Source organism: Homo sapiens, chromosome X (assembly GCF_000001405.40).
Source record: "Homo sapiens chromosome X, GRCh38.p14 Primary Assembly".
Classification (NCBI taxonomy): domain Eukaryota; kingdom Metazoa; phylum Chordata; class Mammalia; order Primates; family Hominidae; genus Homo; species Homo sapiens.
The window spans coordinates 114,889,671-114,911,753 of NC_000023.11; the positions used below are offsets into that span (position 1 = coordinate 114,889,671).

The window sequence follows — 22,083 nt, forward strand, 5'->3', positions numbered from 1 at the left end:
AGAAGTTTTTAGCACTGGTTGAACTCCAAGTCAGATGAAAGGAAATAAGCCTTTTGTGTTGGTTCTTCCAGGACACCACTAGAAAAGTCAAATAATGACAATTTTTTAGGTGCATGGCTTTCAGAGATCTCCAACTCCATTTTGCTACTCTCAGTGCCAGGAGGGTCAGCTGTTATTTTTTAGGACTGACACTGATCTGGAGAGCACGGGATGGGAAAGGAACGGTTCTTAGTGATATTGAGACAATTATCTTGAATGAATGTTTCCCATGTTGCTGCAAGTTTTGGGTTAGTTTTTATAGTTCTGATGATGTTGAATCTATTTTTCCAATTTTTCTGTTGCTTTTATAGAGAGGCAAATTTTTGAAGGGACTTACTCTAACATTTTCACAGATGCCACTCTCTGCTTTTTCTTGTTTTAAATAAATTTCTTAGTATGCAATTTCAATTCCACTATTGGCATTTTAGATATATTTGAATTATTTTTAAATTATTGAGCTAGAAAATATGGTATGCTTCTATAACTTATCCTATTATACTAAATGTTCATCTCTACTTACTTCTTAGAACAAGAAATATAGGAACTTTGAAAACGTATAGTTGCATTTACCTCTTCCCATCATTTGTGGATTGTTGTCAAATATATTACATGTGTCTACATTATAAAGCCACTTACAGAATGTTGTAATTTTTGCAGTAAATAGCATCTTTGTAAAATAAAAAGAGTTTTACCTTGTATTATACTTAACCACATATTCACTTACCATTTCTTGTTCCCTTCATTATTTCTGGTTTTCATGAGTTACTATCTCATGTCATTTCCTTTCAGCCTGAAGGACTTCCACTAACATTTCTCATAGTGCATATCTGCAATCAATAATTCATTTTTTGCTATCTACAAATATTTTCATTTCACCTTCAATTTTGAGGGATAGTCTTACTGGATATAGAATTGTTTGTTGACTGTTATTTTGTTTCAGCACTTTTAATTTGATATTTGAGTGTGTCCTGTCCTTCATAGTTTCTTGAGATAAGCTGATAATTATATAATTGTTTCCTCATATGAAATATGTCTCTTCCTACTTCTGCTTTTTAAATATTCTTACTCTCTTTTAAATTCAGCAGACTGTGATGTTTGTAGGTGTGATTTCTCCTGTTTATTCTATTTGGAATTCATTCATCTTTATGAAAATGTGGGTTAAACTTTTTCACAAATTTGTGAAGTTATTGGCCACTATTTCTTCAAACATTTATTCTGCTTCTTTCCTTTCTGTCTGGGGCCCAAATTATACCTATATTAAGCCACTTAGTATTATCTCATAAGTCTCAGGCTTAATTCATATTTTGTATCATTTTATTCCCTACTCACTGATTCTTCTAGCCTTCGAAATTGCAATTGTCCCATCAAGTGAATTTTTTTTTTGCTATTTTGATAATTTAATTTTACGAACATTATAATTTTCACTTGGTCTTTTTATAGGTGTCATTTCGTTATTGATATTGTTGTCTTTCCTGTCATTAATACCATATTTGCCTCGAACTTATTGAACATATTTTAAAATACCTGTTTTCACATTTGGATCTTTAAATCAAACATCTGTGACCAAGCATGGTCTATTTATATTAAATTCCCCTTTTACAGTTTATGTTTCCCACTTTCTGTTTCTTTGTCAACTTTTGATTGAAAACTGGATATTGTTATACATTGACACTCTGGAGCTTGTTTCTTATTGTGAAGATTATTGTTTTTTATATCTAGTAGGTATTTAACTTTCTGGACTCAAACTATAAAACCTGTGTCCCCCACATTGTGCAACAGCTGACATTTCTTTTCAGTTTTCTTGACTTCTAGTTGCTTCTTTTTAGTGTGTTCCTCCCATCTTTCCCTTGTGCCTATGGAGTTTAAAGATCAGCCTAGGATTGAGGCAAAATTTGTAATGAGATTTAGGATAGGTTGGAGAATGCATTCAATCAAAGACACAAATTGAAAATTAGTAAGGGAACTCAGGAAGAAAGCGAACCACAGAGAGATCGTTAAATCTAAATATAAATTCATGCTGTATGTCCTGATCATAGGAAGAGATCCTTCAATGTATCATAATTTAGTCTGGCAATAGCTGTTTTTTTTTATAAGAATATATCTTTTTATCAACTGGGGAAGTATCTTTGTTCCTAGTTTTCAGAGAATTTTTATCGGGAATAGATATTGACTTTTGATAAATGATGTTTTAAATTCTATTGAGAGGATCTAATAGTATACTTTTTTCTCTTATTTATCCTATTAATGTGGATAATTTCTTTGACTGGTATACATTCTTGAAACATCCTTGCATTCTTGGGAACAATCTAGAGATTAAACCCCCATCTGATCATGATATACTTTTTATATATTGATGGATTTCAATTCCTAATATATTACTGAGGATCTGTACATCTATGTACATAAATGATTTTGTTCAATAAATTACTTATCTTGCAAAGTCCTTATCAGCTTTTCGTATCAGTTATGCTGAAATCATAAAATTGGTTAGAAATATATCCTCCTTTTCCATTATCTGACACTGTTCACATAAAATTGGTAATATTTCTCTCTTAAATGTTTGACCGAATTCACCAATGAAGGCATTTGCATCTGAATTCTTTTTCTGGAGGGGGTTTCAAATGTCATTTAGTTACCTTAGTAGATGAAGAGCAATTTCAATTTTCTGTTTCTTTCCATTTTGTTTCACTTTAATTCATAGGCAATACAGTAAGGCAAAAAATTAAATAAGGAAAAGTAAAGAAGACTGGAAAGAAAACACAACTTTTTTACCTGAAGATAAAATAATTGTCTATGTGAAACTTAAGGAATCTACAAAAATGAAAAATTTACTAATATCAATAAGTAATTTAGCAAGCTTTCTGAGTAACAGATCGTATAACACACAAACATAGATGGTATTTCCATATACTCACAACAAGTAATTGAAAAATTAAATAATCTGTATCTATAGTATCATAAAAAATATAGTACCCTTAGAAAATATATGAGAACCCTCTATACATATAAACATAGCTTAGAGAAATTAAAGTGGAATAAATAAATGGAATGATATTACATGTTTTTGAATTGAAAATCTAAAAATTAAAATATAATATATTAATATATCTAAATTAATCTATAGATTCATATTAATCCAAAAATAATCACATCAGGCTAGTTTCAGAAACTGACAAACTGATTTTATTATTTATTTTTATTTTTATTTTTATTTTTTTTTTGAGATGGAGTCTCACTCTGTTGCCCAGGCTGGAATGCAGTGGCATGATCTTGGTTCACTGCAACTTCCGACTCCCGGGTTCCAGCGATTCTCCTGCCTCAGCCTCCCAAGTAGCTGGGATTACAGGCGCCCGCCACCACACCCAGCTACTTTTTTTGTATTTTTAGTAGAGACGGGGTTTCACCATGTTGGCCAGGCTGGTCTTGATCTCCTGACCTCAGGTGATCCACCCGCCTCAGCCTCCCAACGTGTGGGATTACAAGTGTGAGCCACTGTGCCCAGCCTGATTTTAAAATTTATAAGGAAAAGTAATGGACCTAGGAGAGTTAAAATAATTTTGAAAAAAAATCTAGGAGCATTTATCTGATCTCAAGACATACAATATAGCTAAAGTAATCAAGAGAGTGGTTATTGGCACAAGAATAAAGAAATAAATCAATGCAATTTTTAAAAAATAGTCCAGAAATATACTCACACATAAACTATCAGTTTTCCAAAAAAAGTGCCAAGATAATTAAATAAGAAAAATGTTTTTTTCAATAAATGTTCTGAGGCTTATGTACAAATTGGTATAAAAGAATTAACCTTGACTTCAACCTCATAGTATATACAAAATTACCTTAAGCCAGATCATCAATCTAAATATAAAATCTAAAAGCAAAATTATTATAGATAAAATATAAAAGAATATCTTCATAACCTTGCCATAGGCCAATATGCTTTGAATAGGAAACAAAACACATAAATTAAGAAATTAAAAGTTGACAAATCAAACTTCAAAATTAAAAACTGCTCTTTGAAAGACGACAATATTAAGGAAATAAAAAAGACAAGCCAAAGACTCAGAGAAAATATAGGCAAGATATATCTGACAAAAGACGTGTATGCAAAATATATAAAGAGCTCTTAAAAATAAGTCAAACAACTCAACTGAAAATGGGAAAAATCTTGAACACTTTATAACAGAGTATATCCAAATGGCAGTAAGTATATGAGACATTGTTCAGTGTCATAGACTGTGATGATAATGCAACTTTAAAACCACAATGAGAACTGGCTTCACACCACTAGAATGGCTAAAATTGAAAAGACTAACACTACCAAGGGGTGTCAAAAATTAGTGGCAACTGAAACTTTCATTGCGGATGGGACTGCAAAATGGTACTTTGTCAGTTTCTTAGAAAGTTAAACATGCATCCACCCTATCATCCAGCAATTCCACTGCTTACATTTACCCAAATGATACGAAACTATATGTCTACACACAAAAAAAATCTTATCACGACTTTTAAAACTACTTTATTCATAATAATCCCAAACTGAAAATATATCAAACGTTTATCAACAGGTGAAAGGATAAGCAACAATTCCTTCAAAGGAATAATATTTACAATAGAAAGAAAAACTAGTGACACAACCAAAAATATGGGTGAAGTGATAACCATTATGATGAGCAAAAGCATCCAGATATTTAAGTGTAGATCTTATATGATTCCATTTATGTAAAGTCCTAAAACAGGTAAACCTATACTGATAAGTATCTAAAGAGTCATTTTTTGGGGTGGGGAAAATTTACTAGATAAGAAGATAAGAAAACTTTCTGCAGGCTTGAAAATGTCCTATGTTTCAACTGGGATGGTGATTTCACAGATATATACATTTGTAAAACCTCATGTAAATTTATACTTGAAATCTGTGTGTTTTTATGTGCTTGTAAATTATATTTCAATAAGGTATTTATATTTCAATAAATCTACCTTATTTATTTATTTATCCATTTATTTATCTACCTTATTTATTTATTCATTTGAGACAGAGTGTTGCTCTGTCACCCAGGCTGGAGTGCAGTATCATGATCTCGGCTCACTGCAACCTCTGCCTCCTGGGTTCAAGCGATTCTCATGCCTCAGCCTCGAGTACTTGGTATTCCAGGCACACACCACCATGCTCGGCTAATTTTTGTATTTTTATTTGAGACGGGGTTTCACCGTGTTGGCCAGGCTGGACTCGAACTCCTGACCTCAAGTGGTCCACTCGCCTCAGGCTCCCAAAGTGCTGGGATTACAGGTGTGAGTCACTGTGCCCAGCCAGATTTATTTTTTAAATAAACAAAACATCAACAATCTGTGAGACACTGACAAGTGCTCTAATATGCATTGATCTCAGAAAGGGAGGAAAGACACACTGAGGACATAAAATGTTTGAAGCATATAGAAAGTGTACATCCCTTCTTATATTTTTTAAAGTCTAGTAATAACAAGTGAAAAAAATTATAACAAAGTGTTGTGGAGTTATGCCATATTTAGAAATAAATCATATGAAAACAATGACATATGTTGGGGGTGTAAATGAACTTATGCTGTTATATTATTCTTACATTATACATGAGGTAGTAGATCATGCAACTTATCATAATTGATCATAGTATTTCTTTTTAAAAATATCTGTAGGTTATGTAGTGATGTACTCTCTTTTATCTTGATACTGGTAATTTGTGTTCTTTCTCCTTCCTTTTTCTTGATGTGTCTTGGTAGAGATTGATCCATTTTATTAAACTTTGCAAAGAACCAACTTTAGGTTTGTGAGGTTTCTTTATCATGTATCTGTTTTCTCTTTTGTTGATTTTTACTCCTCATTTATCTGTTTTCTTCTTTGTATGTAGGATGTAATTTCCTCTTCTTTTTTTCAAGTTTCTTACTGCAGAAACTTAGATTACTAATTTTAACCATTCTTTCTTCTTTTTGAATATTGACATTTAGTGTTAAAATTTCTTCCAGGCTGGGTGTGGTGGCTCACGCCTGTAATCCCAGCACTTTGGGAGGCTGAGGCGGGCGGATCACATGAGGTCAGGATTTCGAGACCAGCTTGGCCAACATGGTGAAACCTTATCTCTACTAAAAATACAAAAATTAGCCAGGAGTGGTGGCGGGTGCCTCTAATCCCAGCAACTTGGGATGCCGAGGCAGGGAGAATCGCTTGAACCTGGGAGGTGGAGGTTGCAGTGTGCCAAGATCATGCCATTGCACTCCAGCCTGGGCAACAGAGTGAGACTCTGTCTCAAAAAAAAAAAAAAATCCTCTAAATTTTGCTTTTGCCCTACCCACAAATTTTGTATGCTGTGTGTTCAACAAATTATTCTCAAACGTTTTTCCAATTTTTCTTGTGATTTCTTTTTTGGCACATGAGCTATTTAGATGGTTGTAATTTGATTTTCCAGTTATTTAGATGAGATGTGGGAAATGAGTGATCAATATCTTATTTGTCATTAATTTCTTATTTAATTCTGTTGCTAAGAACATACTATATAAGATTGCAGTCTTTAGAAATTATTGAGAGATATTTTATGCTTCAACATATGACTTATCTTGATAAGCATTCCATGTGAACATTTTAAAGAAGGTATATTCAGAAGCATTCAGTGTAGTGTTCTGTAAATGTCAATCACATCTAATTGACAGTGTTTATATTTTATATATCATTACTTTCTTTTTCAAACAGTTACTGAGAAAGGAATGTTAAAAATGCCAATGATGATTGTGGATGTATTCATTTCTTCCTTAGTTCTGTAGATTTTGCTTTAAATATTTTGAAGCTGTGTCACTGGGGGAAACACATTTAGGATTTGTATGCCTTTTGAATTTGTCCTTTTATTATTGTGAATACCCACTTTCATCTCTGCTAATATTGCTTGTCTTGAAATACACTTTGTCTGACAATAATATAGCCATGCTACCTTTCTTGTAATAACTACTCATACAATATATAATTTTCCATAATTTCTAACTTTGTACTTACATATGTCTTCATATTTAAAGTTTGTCTCTTTTAAGACAACTGATCATCTTTCTCTTTTATCTTAATCTGAAAATCTCTGCCTCGTAACTAAACGATTTGGATCAATTACATTTTATGTAATCATCAATATGACTAGGTTTAAGTCTGATATCTTACTATTCATTTTCTTTTTGCTTCATTTAATTTTTGTTCTCCTGTTTCTCTTTTCCTGCCTTCTCTTCTGCTTACCAAATACCTTTAGCATTGCATTTTAGTTCCTTTATTGACTTTTTATCTATATATTTTTAAGTATTTTTATTTGACCTAGGTGGATTTAAGGATTGCCATCGGATATCTTATCTCATAAGCATCCTTAATTTTAATAATGTACTAATTTTCCACTTTAGACTTTAGACATGTAAGAAACTTAAAATGTATAATTTGATTTTTCAAGCCTGTTCTTTTTGTTAATATTGTCATGTATGCTCTTGCTACATATGTCATAGACACAACTTTAAAATCAACTCATTTGTGCCTCAAAACCTCACTTACCTTTTAAGAAATTAGGAAAAAATAAAAAGTAGTCTGTTTACTTACATGTTTACCATTTTGGGTGCTCCTCTTTCCTCCAGTAGTTGTGAGTTTCCACCTGGTATCATTTTCAACAGCCTGAAGAACTTCCTTTAGCAATCTTTTTTTTTTTCCAAATTTTATTTTAAGTTCAGGGATACACGTGCAGGATGTGCAGGTTTCTTACATAGGTAAATGTGTCCCATGGTGGTTTGCTACACAGATCATCCCATCACTTAGGTATTAAGCTCAGCATCCATTAGCTATTCTTCCTAATGCCCTCCGTCCTCACCGGCTGGCAGGCCCCAGTGTGTATTGTTCCTCGCTATGTGTCCATGTGTTCTCATGATTCAGCTGCCACTTCTAAGTGAGAAGACAAGGTATTTGCTTTTCTGTTCCTGTGTTAGTTTGCTGAAGATAATGGCTTCCAGCTCCATTCATATTCCTGCAAAGGACGTAATCTCATTCCTTTTTATGGCTGCATAGTATTCCGTGGTTTATATGTACCACATTTTCTTTATCCAATCTATCATTGATGGGCATTTGGGTTGGTTCCAAGTCTTTGCTATTGTGAATAGTGCTGCAATGAACATATACATGCATGTATCTTTATAACAGAATAATTTACATTCCTTTGGGTATATACCCAGTAATGGGATTGCTGTGTTGAGTGGTATTTCTGCCTCTGGGTCTTTAAGGAATCACCACACTGTCTTCCACAGTGGTTAAACTAATTTACACTGCCACCAACAGTGTAAAAGTGTTGCTTTTTCTCCACAACCTCACCACCCTCTGTTGTTTCTGGACTTTTTAATAGTCGCCATTCTGGCTGACATGAGATGATATCTCATTGTGGTTTTGATTTGCATTTCTCTAATAATCAGCGATGTTGAGCTTGTTTTCATGTATTTCTTGGCCACATGAGTAGCTTCTTTGAAGAAGTGTCTGTTCATGTCCTTTGCCCACTTTTTAATGGAGTTGTTTTTTTCTTGTAAATTTGTTTAAGTTCCTTGTACACTCTGGATATTAGACCTTTGTCAGGTTGCAAAGATTTTCTCCCATTTTATAGGTTGTCTGCTCATTCTTATGACAGTTTATTTTGCTCTGCAGAAGCTCTTTAGTTTAACTAGAACCCATTTGTCAATTTTTGCTTTTGTTCCAACTGCTTTTGGTGTCCTCATCTTAAAATCTTTGCCCATGTCTATATTCAGAATGGTATTGCCTAGGTTTTCTTCTGAGATTTTTAGTTTGGGGTTTTACATTTAAGTCTTTAATCCATCTTGAGTTGATTATTGTATATGGTATAAGAAAGGGGTCCAGTTTCAGTTTTCTGCATATGGCTAGCCAGTTCTCCAAGCACAATTTATTAAATAGGAAATCCTTTCCCCATTGCTTGTATTTGTCAAGTTTGTCAAATATCAGATAGTTGTAGGTGTGCAGTCTTATTTCTGAGATCTCTATTCTGTTCCATTGGTCTATGTGTCTGTTTTTGTACCAGTACCATGCTGTTTTGGTTACTGTGGCCGAATAGTATAGTTTGAAGTTGAGTAACGTGATGCCTCCAGCTTTGTTCTTTTTGCTTAGGATTGCCTTGGCTATTTGGGCTCTTTTTTGGTTTCATATGAATTTTTAAAGTTTCTTCTAATTCTTTGAAGAATTTCAATGATAGTTTAATGGGAATAGCATAGAATCTATAACTTTGGGCAGTTATGAGCATTTTAATTGCATCGATTCTTTCTATCCATGAGCATGGAATGTTTTTCCATTTGTTTATGTCATCTCTGATTACTTTGAGCAGTGGTTTGTAGTTCTCCTTAAAGAGGTCCTTCACTTCCCTTATTAGCTATATTCCTAAGTATTTTATTCCTTTTGTGGCACTTGTGAATGGGAGTTCATTCATTCTTTGGCTCTCAGCTTGCCTGTTGTTTCTGTATAGGAATGCGCTATCTCAGGCAGGCTCCACCCTGTTGCTGGTGGCTGGCTGGAATTCCAAACCAGTGGGTCTTATCTTGTGAGATGCCATGGAAGTGGGGCCCGCAGGACAATGCTGCTTGACTTCCCGGATTCAGCCCCCTTCCTAGTGGTATGTACGGACCTCCCGCCTTGCCTGAGTTGCAGACACCTTTGTTGGGGATCCTGGGGTCAGAGTATGTAAAGCTCCTGGGTCTCTGTGTGTGCCTGAGCAGCTGCTTTGCTGTGACTCCACACAGCTCTGTGTTGGACCCAAGGCCCTGGTGGCATAGGTTCACAAGGGGATCTCCTGATCTGTGGGTTGCAAAGATCCGTGGGAGGAGCATGGTTTCCCACGGTCGCACAAGCACTCACCGCTTCCCTTGACTGGACGTGAGGGTTCCCTTGGCTCTGTGTTGCTCCCAGGTGGGCCGTTGCCCCGCCTGGCTTTTCTTTGTTCTCCATCGGTTGAGTTGTTTCCCTGATCAGTCCCAAAGTGAGTACCTGGATATTTCAGTTGAAGATACTGTATTCACTCACGCCTTTTGTTCCTCTCTGTGAGTGCCGTGGACTGTAGCTGCTTCTAATCAACCATCTTGGTCCCCTTAGCATTCTTTTAATGAAGTTCTGTTGGCAACAAATTCTCTCAGCTTTAGTTGACATGAAAAAGTCTTAATTTTACCTTCATTTATGAAGTATATGATCACTGAACATAAAATTCTGGGTTGACAGATGTGCGTTTGTTGCTGTAGTTTTTACTTTATTCTTTTTAAAGATGATTTTATCTTCTGTCCTCCATGGTATCTGATATGACACCCTTGGATATTTCTTTCTTTTTCTTGCATTAAGCTTTATTTTAATGGGTTTCAAAATTCTGTAACAGATTTTTGGTCAGGGCGTTTCCATTAAAAAGTGTTGATTTTAAAAACTAAAAACTTAAAACTGCCACATGCAAAAAAAAGGGGATCCAGAAAACATTCTCTTTTTCTTCTGAAGGTTTTACAATGCATTGTCATCATTAATCAGTTTTACTATTAAACTTAAAAGGCTAATTGAAACAAACAGTTCTGAGACCATTCTTCCACCACTGATTAAAACTGGGGTGGCAGGTATTAGGGATAATATTCATCTAAAACTTCTGAGATTTCTGGTCAAACTTGGTGACCTTGCCAGCTCCAACAGCCTTCTTGTCCCTTGCTTTGATGACACATAATCAAGATATGATGTCTATCTCATATCATAAAGAGCAAAATGACTCAGAGGAGGATAGTCTGAGATACTGTCAACACACATGGGTTTGCCAGGAGCCATATGAATGACAATGACTGCAGCATCACCAGACTTCAAGAACTCCTGTCAGCCTGAAATAGTATGGTTTTCTAGGTATCCTTGAAAAAAAATTTCCTCTCCATGCAAAATAACCCATGGAAACAGATAACCCTGCAGGTTAACAATAATTTCCCTATGTTTTCATTTTGATGTTTATCAAGCTGTTCTAGGAAACGTATTCTCTAATCTCTTTTGTATCACTATTTATTATTCATCTCTTGGCAGTCTGTTTCCTGTCTTCACTATAATTGTTCTCTCTATAATCACCAATGACCTCTTCATTTTCAAAGATAGAGAAAATGTTTCAAATTCTAGATCTCTCTGTGGCATTTGAAACTGTTGCGGATGTCTTCTTCAGAACACTCCTTCCCTTTGTTCGTAATGACATAACTTTTCACTTACACTGAATTGTTGTCATGTAGCTGACACTCATTTTGCAAATTTTGCTGCTGGTAGTTTTGATCTTTCCAGAAGATGTCAAAAGAAGTTATTCAGACCAGTTTCACACATGTACTGACAATGACAACTATCTAATGACTAGTTTCTGGCCAACAATGATTGTAAGACACTATGGGTTGTATGAAGCATCACAATTTCAAAGATGTTAAAATCTGAAAGAAATGTGCCTCTTAGAATCATTGGCATATGACCTTATGGTTTGGAGAGAACTGATCTGTGTTGCTTGAATTCAAGGTTTTAAGAAATAATGTAAACATATTTATACATCCTCTGAACTTACCTCTTTTGCAGTAAAATAACTTCATCAACTAATGGGCTTTTAAGAGGCTGAAATGAGATAATGCATGTAAAGTATGTAATGCAGACAAAGTATCAGAGTCAGTAAGCACTCATAATAAACACTTAATGAATGATAGTAGTAGTAGTTGTAACAGCAGTAGTAGTTATAATAGCAGTAGTAGTTATAATAGTGGTAACGTTATATTTTGAATAAAATAGTGGTAGAAGTAACATATGATATTTTCAGTAAAGCTTTAACTTAACAATGTTAATGAATTTAATATTCTAAAATGCTAAGTAAGACTCTTATATGTTTACTGAAGGCACTCTTCCTCTCAGAGTTTAAGTAACCTTAATAAATAATAACCACTTTTCAGAGATTTGCAACAACTGAATTAGATAATGCATGTGAAATATATTTGACAGTTTATTAGTTGAAGAAGTACCTAAGGTTTGCAGCACAACATGAATTATAACTTACCTTTGTTGGTTCTAAAATTCTAAGGAAGATGATACAGAGTTATTGAAGTTAATCTCAGAAAGGTTAAGTGATTCCACCTAATAATTTATTTTTTTTTGTCTGGATTGAATAAAATATATATAAAAGTATATAACAATTGTGAAATATGTGGCTTAGTGCATGACAAATAAGCCCTCAGTAAAAGGTAGTTATTATTATTGGAATTATTGTTAGTGACACCTGATATTTTCAATGGTAGTTCATATCTAGTTTTCCTCTTTGGCCAAATCAGGAATTTCAAAAATATTGAAGATTGCCTCATGATATTTGCTAAACTTACTTAATTTTTCTGAAGTTAACTTCATCAAATAACATGTGCCTTGCGGAATTTTTATAAAAATGAATGATGAATTTAAAGTGTTTTGTTGCCAGTATTGCTGTTATTTATATTTACCAGACATGATAATATCGCATGAATTACTATTGGTTGAAATAAAAATGCTAAGACAAACTTAACACATTTGCTGAACTTAACTCTCTAGCACTTAAATAACTTAATGCATTAACATAGAACAGCAGTTCTCAAGCTCTTTGGTGTCAGGACCCCTTTATACTCTTCAAAATAATCGAGGACTCCAAAAGAGTTTTTGCTTATGCGGCTTATATTTATTGATATTTATGGTATTAGAAATTAAAACTGAGAAATATTTAAAATATTTAGGAATAATTTTATTTTCAATAATAATAATAAACCCATCTAAGGTTAACATAAAAACATATTTTTGAAAACTATAATCTCCAAAACAAATCAGAGAGAAAACAGGCATTGTTTTACAGTTTTGAAAATTTATTGTATTTATTTATTTATTTATTTATTTTAGATGGAATTTTGTTCTGTCACCCAGGCTGGAGTGCAGTGGCGGGATCTCGGCTCACTGCAACCTCTGCCTCCTGGGTTCAAGCGATTCTCCTTCCTCAGCCTCCCGAGTACCTGGGATTACAAGCATGTGCCATCATCCCTGGCTAATTTTTGTATTTTTAGTAGAGACTGGGTTGCACCATGTTGGCCAGGCTGGTCTTGAACTCCTGACTTCAGGTGACCTGCCCACCTCGGCCTTCCAAAGTACTGTGATTACAGGCGTGAGCCACTGCACCCGGCCCACAGTTTTGAAAATCTCTTTTAATATCTTGTTTGACAGAAAGAAAGCTAGATTCTCATATATGTATCCACATTCAAACAGTTGTGATATGTTGTTTTGGTTGAAATTTATGAAGAAAATGCAGTTTTAAAGACAGTTAGGAAAGGAAAACCTAGCAAGCTTTCTAACAGTCTCAGACACCCCCCTAGGGTCCTTGAATCACACTTTGAGAACTGCTGACACTTACCTTTTATTTTTTTTTAAAGTATTGAATAAGACAGTGTACAACATATATTGTTATTAATGCTGCTTTTGTTGTTGCTTTTTATAATTTCCTCATATGTTTGAAATAACTTGAATTTCTTCTTGTTTTGTTGATTGCATTCATGGTTTCTAAAAACAAAAGAAAATTAATGACAGTGCAGATTTGGTAAACTGGTTAAGCTACTTTGCCAAATAATACCTGTCTTATAAAGTTTTTAACCAAATTGAGATAATACATTCTACATCTGTAATGTCAGTAATATACATGGCTCAGTGCCTGGCACATAGGATACACTCAATAAATGGCAGCTATTAGAATCACCCTTTCCTCAATGCACAAAAAATAATACAAATAGATGCCAGGGATAAAATTGGCCTCATCTACCCAATAACAGCTTCAGCTTATCTACAGTGACTTTGCTACCCTCTCTTGCTGTCCCTTGACAAGGCCTACTTTAGGCTCAAGAATCCCTTAGACAAGTGAATAAATCATTTAACAGAAGCGAGCTAACATTACTCTGGAGTTGGTCTCTAAGTGATACAAACTTCCACCAATCTCATGGCCTGTGTGTGAGGCCTTCCCCAGAAACGTCCAAGTGTGTCTATGAATACTTAGAATATATGCAGCATTTCCTGTGGGAAATTGAAGGTACATGCCTCAGTCATGATGCCTCCAGGGTGAAAGCAAATTCCCCAGATTGAGTCTCTAGCCCCACGCTGTAGTATCTAAGGTGCTGGGTGGTTGGCAAGGTAGGAGATTGAAGAGGGAAACACCACTCCTGCATCCTTTATTGCTTTTGCTGTAAGGAACCTGGAAAGGTATAACAGAGTTTCCTATCAACACATTGTCAGAAAATGGCCTTCTTCCCTACAGTTTTATCAAACAGGTGGTTGAATGTTTCTATTTAGGGATCCAAATGTTTTTTTGCTCTGGAAGGAATCACTTCCAAGATTAGCAGTGGCCAATCAGTTTTGGAGACTTTTTAAAATCTGAGGCTTAACAGTGATGTTACTCTGTTTCAGAAAGGACCTCTATGTCTTCTTTTCTCTTTTTTTAAATTGAAAAAAATTATTAAACTTTCTGTTTCATAGTTGACTTTCAAAGATTACAAAGGTAGAATTATAAAATAAAGCCCATGAACTCATCATCCAGCTCCAAGATTTATCAGCCTGTGGACTGTCTTGTTTCATCCATACTTTCATCCACTTCTCCCTCCCGTATTATTTTGAAATAACTCCAAACATCATAATACTTCATCTGTAAGTGTTTTAGTATGTATATCAAAAAATAAAAGAGCTGTCTTTTTATATAACCACAATATCAATACCTCACCTAAAAATTAATGAACAATAATTATTTAATATCATCCAAAGGCCAGTCATTGTTCAGATTTTTAATTGTGTCATGAAAATTTTTAACATGTTTTTGTTTTCATCAAGATCCCAAGAAGATCCACATATTATAATTACTTGATAGATCTTTTAAGTATCTCTTAATATATAAGTTCCCCCTCTAACATTTTCTCTTGTAAATTTTTTTAAAGAAACTCTTTCTTCTTTTAAAAATCTTATATTAACTTTCTGCAGACTAATCCGTCACTAAAATATGTTATTAAGGTTAAGCCAACACTGATGTCTTTAGGGCATGTTTGATCTGTGCTGTCTAGAGATTACCTTACGTTTATGATTTTTCACATAAAGATTTAAACAACACAGTCTGGCAGCTTTCTTAACTGCTTTTTTTTTTTTTTAACTCTTAAGAAATATATTCTGTGTGGTTCTGCTGTACTCTATATTCCCAAATTCCTGTTGAAATTTCCCAGGCATTTCATCAAACTTGGTGAAAAATCACTTTCTCTTTTCTCCTTCTAATAATTGTCATTCCACCCCATCTAGGTGCAAAGGTCTCTGCTTTAGGATCTGGCCATGCACTACTTGAGGTGACTTACTGTTTGCAGTGCCTCCTCATTTTCAGTCTTTCCTACTTTCTTGAATGGTGTGCCTAGGTTCAGAGCTATAGGTAGGCATGGACCAATACCCAGGGAAGTCTTGTCATATCTGTTGTGGCTTCCTCACCCTGTTACTTGGCTTCCTACTCTAGGAAAAGGCCAGTCATTTTAGAAATTCCATGTCTGAGGAAGAAGACTTAAAGATCACTTTCAAAACACTCTCTTCTTTCTATCTTCCCAGAGATTAAACATCCGTCAACATTCTCAGCAAGCTCTAGCAAAGAAGCATTGACTCATTGTTTTTTTTCCCTCTTGATCATCCAGCCAGACACTCTATACCTGACTAGGCATGTTAAAGCAACTAGTAAGGACTTTCTGTTTCAGGTTTGTCACAGTTGCTTGTGTGTTCTCTAAGGTCAGCAAGGATCTCTGAGAATGCATTTCTGTCTCCTCTCACAGTTCATGATGTAGACACCTACCAGCCCAGGATTCCTAATAATCTCTAATGGAACCCCACAAATACAATCTGAACTTCCCAGGCTTCGACTTCCTGTGGACACAAGACAGGACAGCAATCTCTATCTGTTATCTATTTATCTCTATGTATTGATGCAGGACCTCTTGAAGACCTACTGTGGTTATTTCTGAAAGCTTCCAGATATCTTACTTATGCTCAGGCACAAGATCACCTTCTGCTCCCACCTCCTCATTGATATTTCCTAACTATGGGCCTATTTATTGAAGGAAGTGCTTCCCTAGAGTACTACCTCTCAGTATTCTTAAAACAAAAATGCTCAAAATTCCACACAGAAACTGGAGGACTGCATATCTCCCAACTCTACATTTTACCCTCTCTTGACTTTGAAACATTGCTCATGCCCAGAGACTCAAAATAAAACAAACAAACAAAAACCCTTGCTAAAAAGAGAATCTTTTCAGTCTCTGCTTATTGACTATTTCTGCATAGTAGTTAGACTCAGCCCAGCCATCCCTAATAGGCTATTATTACTATTACAGGTGGTATTTGTCTCATTTTTATTGAATTTGGAAAATGATATGCTAAAGAAAGAATGATTGGCTTTATTAATGTCATCAAGTACAGATGTGAATTTATTCATTGATTCAACAAATATTTATCGAGTGCCTTCTCTGAGCCAGGACGATTCTTGGAACTGGAAATCCAACAAATCTGACACAATCCACCCTTTGACACAACCGTGTCTCTAATATAGTTAATATCAATAAGGGTAATTCCATGCCTTCTACAGAATTTAGGGAGAAGGCATTCCTAACATGAAAAACGCCATCATTTTCTGATGCCATACTGCTAGTGTTTCATGTGACTATCGATTATGCCGTGAATAGCTTTCAACAAATATCAGGTCTGAATTTCCTTCCGTAAAATGCAAATTAATGTATGCCGTTGAATACATCTGTTCAGTCCTTCAAGATGCTATAACAACCCCCTTCCTTTTTCTTCCTTTAGGTGTATCAGTTCCTATCCCTGTGATTGGACTGAGGGACGAAGAAAAGGTGTTCGTGAACAACACGACGTGCGTGCTCAACGACCCAAATTTCGTTCTTATTGGGTCCTTCGTAGCTTTCTTCATACCGCTGACGATTATGGTGATTACGTATTGCCTGACCATCTACGTTCTGCGCCGACAAGCTTTGATGTTACTGCACGGCCACACCGAGGAACCGCCTGGACTAAGTCTGGATTTCCTGAAGTGCTGCAAGAGGAATACGGCCGAGGAAGAGAACTCTGCAAACCCTAACCAAGACCAGAACGCACGCCGAAGAAAGAAGAAGGAGAGACGTCCTAGGGGCACCATGCAGGCTATCAACAATGAAAGAAAAGCTTCGAAAGTCCTTGGGATTGTTTTCTTTGTGTTTCTGATCATGTGGTGCCCATTTTTCATTACCAATATTCTGTCTGTTCTTTGTGAGAAGTCCTGTAACCAAAAGCTCATGGAAAAGCTTCTGAATGTGTTTGTTTGGATTGGCTATGTTTGTTCAGGAATCAATCCTCTGGTGTATACTCTGTTCAACAAAATTTACCGAAGGGCATTCTCCAACTATTTGCGTTGCAATTATAAGGTAGAGAAAAAGCCTCCTGTCAGGCAGATTCCAAGAGTTGCCGCCACTGCTTTGTCTGGGAGGGAGCTTAATGTTAACATTTATCGGCATACCAATGAACCGGTGATCGAGAAAGCCAGTGACAATGAGCCCGGTATAGAGATGCAAGTTGAGAATTTAGAGTTACCAGTAAATCCCTCCAGTGTGGTTAGCGAAAGGATTAGCAGTGTGTGAGAAAGAACAGCACAGTCTTTTCCTACGGTACAAGCTACATATGTAGGAAAATTTTCTTCTTTAATTTTTCTGTTGGTCTTAACTAATGTAAATATTGCTGTCTGAAAAAGTGTTTTTACATATAGCTTTGCAACCTTGTACTTTACAATCATGCCTACATTAGTGAGATTTAGGGTTCTATATTTACTGTTTATAATAGGTGGAGACTAACTTATTTTGATTGTTTGATGAATAAAATGTTTATTTTTGCTCTCCCTCCCTTCTTTCCTTCCTTTTTTCCTTTCTTCCTTCCTTTCTCTCTTTCTTTTGTGCATATGGCAACGTTCATGTTCATCTCAGGTGGCATTTGCAGGTGACCAGAATGAGGCACATGACAGTGGTTATATTTCAACCACACCTAAATTAACAAATTCAGTGGACATTTGTTCTGGGTTAACAGTAAATATACACTTTACATTCTTGCTCTGCTCATCTACACATATAAACACAGTAAGATAGGTTCTGCTTTCTGATACATCTGTCAGTGAGTCAGAGGCAGAACCTAGTCTTGTTGTTCATATAGGGGCAAAAATTTGACATTGTCAGAATGTTGTGTTGGTATTTACTGCAATGTCTGTCCCTAAACATAGTGGTATTTTAACATAGCAGCTGGTTAACCGGGACTACAGAAGTGGAAGGATAATGAGATGTAATACACCAAATAGCTTTTCACTTCTTAAGGACAGTGTTCAAATTCTGATTATTACAACAAGCAAACTGAAATTAGTGTTTTCATTCTGGTCCTTAGTAAATTCCTAATTCTATGATTAAACTGGGAAATGAGATCCCAGAGTTATTTCCCAACCCAGGATTCAACATCAATTGGGTTTTGATCTCAGCATCCTGGAAATTTGTGTGCTTCACACAAAGTGAAATTAGTATTTTGAGCCTTATTAAAATATTTTCTTAATTATGGTACCTCTGTCTATAGGACTTAATTTAGCAGTCCATTTTTGAGTAAAACTTGTATTGGAAGTATAGATGGTAGAAACTTTGGAAGTTTTACTTGATTAAGGACTACAGAATTGGGCCCTTAGAATGTGAAAAAAAAAAGTAATTAAAAAGACACTTTTACCGAACTCGGGATTACAGAAACACGGAGTTTCCATTTGGATTTTAAACAAAATTTATGTCATTTTCAGATCCTTCCAAACTCTCTAGTGCAGGAAAAGGCTGCAGCTAATTTGTGAAAGTGGCAAGCTCTTCATTGCACTGCAGTTATTTACCAGAAGTTTAAATCTTTGTTAAAATATAGTGTTGTGTTACAATAAGTGTTGGCCATCATTTCATTCGTGGGCCTGCTGCTCTCTAAGAATTCAGTAGCATTTTAATAGTTTCTAAACCATGAAAAGTTTTCAAGCATTGCTAAAGTCAGGCCATTCAGTCTATGCTGTGTGCAGAGTATACAAGTGTTTCTAGTAACAGTATTTCCATACGTGCCCATTTCACACAACTGTGGATAAATTTTGGAAGAATTCATGATGCTAGTTCTTACGCTTGACAGTTACTTACACACCTGAGAATGTGCCTCTCAGTATCTTAAAATTGGTTAATGAAAAATCTGAATTTCTAAAACCCTTGGTCTGTGTTCTCAACACACAGTATAGATAAATCCAATAGTCTGCCACAAGGGCAGTGGAAGAGCTGCTGTATTTGAGGAAACTCATACAGTCTCTATTTGATTTGCAACACTGCCAAACATCAGTCAATTGCTTGAGCATGCCCAAATATAACATGAAAGTCAAGTCTACCTGCCTTGCCTGTTAGGTCTGTTGAAGTGCATGTTAAAATAATTATATGAAGCAGAATGAGATGATTTAATTCTTACCGAAATGAAAATGGCTGAAGAAACACAGCATGCATTTAGCATGAGTTCTGCACATACAGATGGTGTCCTGCATGTATGCCATGTATGTTGCATGAATCCATCGATTTGTATTAATGTAGGGCAGAATAGCTGATAGAAGAAGGACTGAAGAAAATCCTTCAGCAATCCTTAAAAAGACCATGCATTCAGATCTGAAGTAGTGTGAGTGTTAGAAAAAACTGGAAACATCTGATTTCTGAACTATCAGGGCAAGCTCATAGCACATGTTTTACAAAGAAACAAAATATAAATCACAGATTTCCAAAAGTACTAGCAATAAGTTGAATGATAATAGCTCACAGCACATTTGTTAATGATTCTTGTGTCATCAAGTAGTAGTACTTAATAGTACCCAACCTGGTAATTATCCTCAAGTTGTGTGCTATTCGTAAGTTCTGTGCAGTTTGGTATGAAACAAATATACTCATTTGGATATAAATCTTACCCTTCAATGTTAAATCTACAAACTTTTATAAATGTTTTAAAGAAGTCCATGTGATAATTGTAAAGGTGATGAATTTACCATCAAACAAATCATTTTGATGTATTATTATATATGTATATCTGTGTAAGACACGTGCAACAGACTGCCTTATATTATTTTCTGTAATTCTTCTCCTTTGTCAAATGGTATTTTTTGTGAATGGTTGCAAAGTGTTGTCTTATTCCTAATTCCTGTATGTTATCCACTACAGGTTTTATGAGACTTCCTATTAATTTATTAAATTTATTAAATGTTGGCTAATATGTCACATGTCTTTTTTCCCCAGAATCTTTTGAGGGAAACATATACCACTTGACACTTGACTTCATTTTCATAGAAAATGAAATTGTATCCTATAAAATAAGTTGACAAAGACAAATGCAACCAGAAAAGATCACTTTCTTTTTAGTAATGATGCATGTACTCAAAGACTATGGCATCAGAGGAAAAACAAGAGGTGTGACTGAGAAAAACAATATCAACAACAGCATCACCAATTCCTCATGAGCAAAATAACCACACTCCCAAATTGTTCTGCCTTCCTTACTTGAGCAAGGACGAGGGTGGTTCACATGCTCTCCTTGTTATAGGTGTCAGTACTGCCTTATTCCCACTGGAATCTAAGTTCCTCAAGGACAGAAAGGACCATGTTTGTCCTGTAGATGGTTTGTCTCCAACACTTAGCAGCCTCTCTACATTCAACATGTATTCATTGAGTATTAATATTTGCAAGTACCAGGGCTGGTGGCTCATGCCTGTAATCCCAGCACTTTGGGAGGCTGAAGTAGGAGAATCACTTGAGTTCAGGAGTTTGAGACCAGTCTGGGCAACACAGCAAGGCCTCATCCCCAATAAAAATAAAAAAATAATTAGCCAGGCACTGTGGTGCATGCCTGTAGTCCCAGCTACTTGGGAGGCTGAGGCGATTGCTTGAGCCCAGGAGATAGATGCTACAGTGAGCCATGATCATGCCACTGCACTGCAGCCTGGGAGACAGAGCGAGACACTCTCAAAAAAAGAAAAGAAAAAAATTTGAAGGAATTGTGTTATCTGTTCCAGTTGCCAAACTAGGTCTTACAACTCCCAGCTCTTCAGTCATGAGATGTGGCATGATCACCTTAATTTATCTCTTATATCAACTGGCTTTGGATACCTCCAAAATCATCAGAGACATGATACTAAAACAACTCTCTTCTTCCATACCTGGAACCAGGGATGACAGAATACGTTGACCTTTTCTTTCAACATATATGCTCTTCTGATGCTGGGTGAGTGTAGAAAATACTGGCATGACGTCAGTTCCCTGAGGAAAAAAAAAGCAGTAATACCTCATTTCTCTGCAACTCTGAGTAGGTCGGTTCCTATGAGTAGGTCAAGACATAAAGGTTGAAATGCCACTTGAAACAATAGGTTTACTGCTGCCCATGGCCAGAAATATCTTATTCTGCTAAAGCTAGGGGCTACTCGAGCCCATCACTGAGGCAATGGAGAGAGGCTGAAATTTCTTGATGGCCCAGTCTAGGAGTCACTACTACCAGTGGAAGGGAGGAGGGCAGAAGAACACTGAAGTGCCTCAGTCTGTAGCTCTAGAAGGTCTTCATGGTCTGAGGAGAGAAAGAAAAATGCTTCTTGCCATCAAGTAGCAATAGGTTTCTTTTATCCATGTGGTTTCCCAGCTCCCACTTAGGCCAATGCAATTTCCAAGGTTGAGGCCCATTTTTCCTTGTGTATTCTCCCCTAGATATATGTAAACCCATCCGTCACCTGGATCAGCAGTCCCCAACCTTTTTGGCATTAGGGACCAGTTTCTTGGAGGACAATGTTTCCACAGATGGTGAAGTGAGGGTGGGAGATGGTTTTGGGATAAAACTGTTCCACCTCAGATCATCAGGCATCAGTGAGATTCTCATAAGGAATGTGCAACATAGATCTCACACATATGTAGTTC

General features: G+C 35.8%; 1 protein-coding gene across 3 annotated transcripts in view, besides 2 other annotated features; it reads left to right on the forward strand.

Annotated features, from left to right (window-relative positions):
• HTR2C (5-hydroxytryptamine receptor 2C) overlaps positions 1-20,391 on the forward strand; it is a 325,976-nt gene extending 305,585 nt beyond the window's left edge. For all 3 annotated transcript variants that reach the window (NM_001256760.3, NM_000868.4, NM_001256761.3), the window contains one exon: positions 16,919-20,391. In NM_001256760.3, coding sequence (NP_001243689.2) covers positions 16,919-17,745 — 827 coding nt within the window. In that variant the 3' untranslated portion in view covers positions 17,746-20,391. The remainder of the gene's footprint in view (positions 1-16,918) is intronic.
• Positions 16,693-17,892: an enhancer, noted in NCBI's record as "MED14-independent group 3 enhancer chrX:114140926-114142125 (GRCh37/hg19 assembly coordinates)". NCBI's record gives its function as "activates an origin of replication core promoter dependent on BRD2, BRD4, P300/CBP and CDK7 cofactors, and independent of MED14, by STARR-seq in HCT116 cells {active_cell/tissue: HCT116}" and the evidence as "EXISTENCE:reporter gene assay evidence [ECO:0000049][PMID:35650434]".
• Positions 17,230-17,879: an enhancer, noted in NCBI's record as "OCT4-NANOG-H3K27ac hESC enhancer chrX:114141463-114142112 (GRCh37/hg19 assembly coordinates)". NCBI's record gives its function as "activates a minimal SCP1, AML or CMV promoter by ChIP-STARR-seq in naive and primed H9 embryonic stem cells {active_cell/tissue: H9 hESC(naive and primed)}" and the evidence as "EXISTENCE:reporter gene assay evidence [ECO:0000049][PMID:30033119]".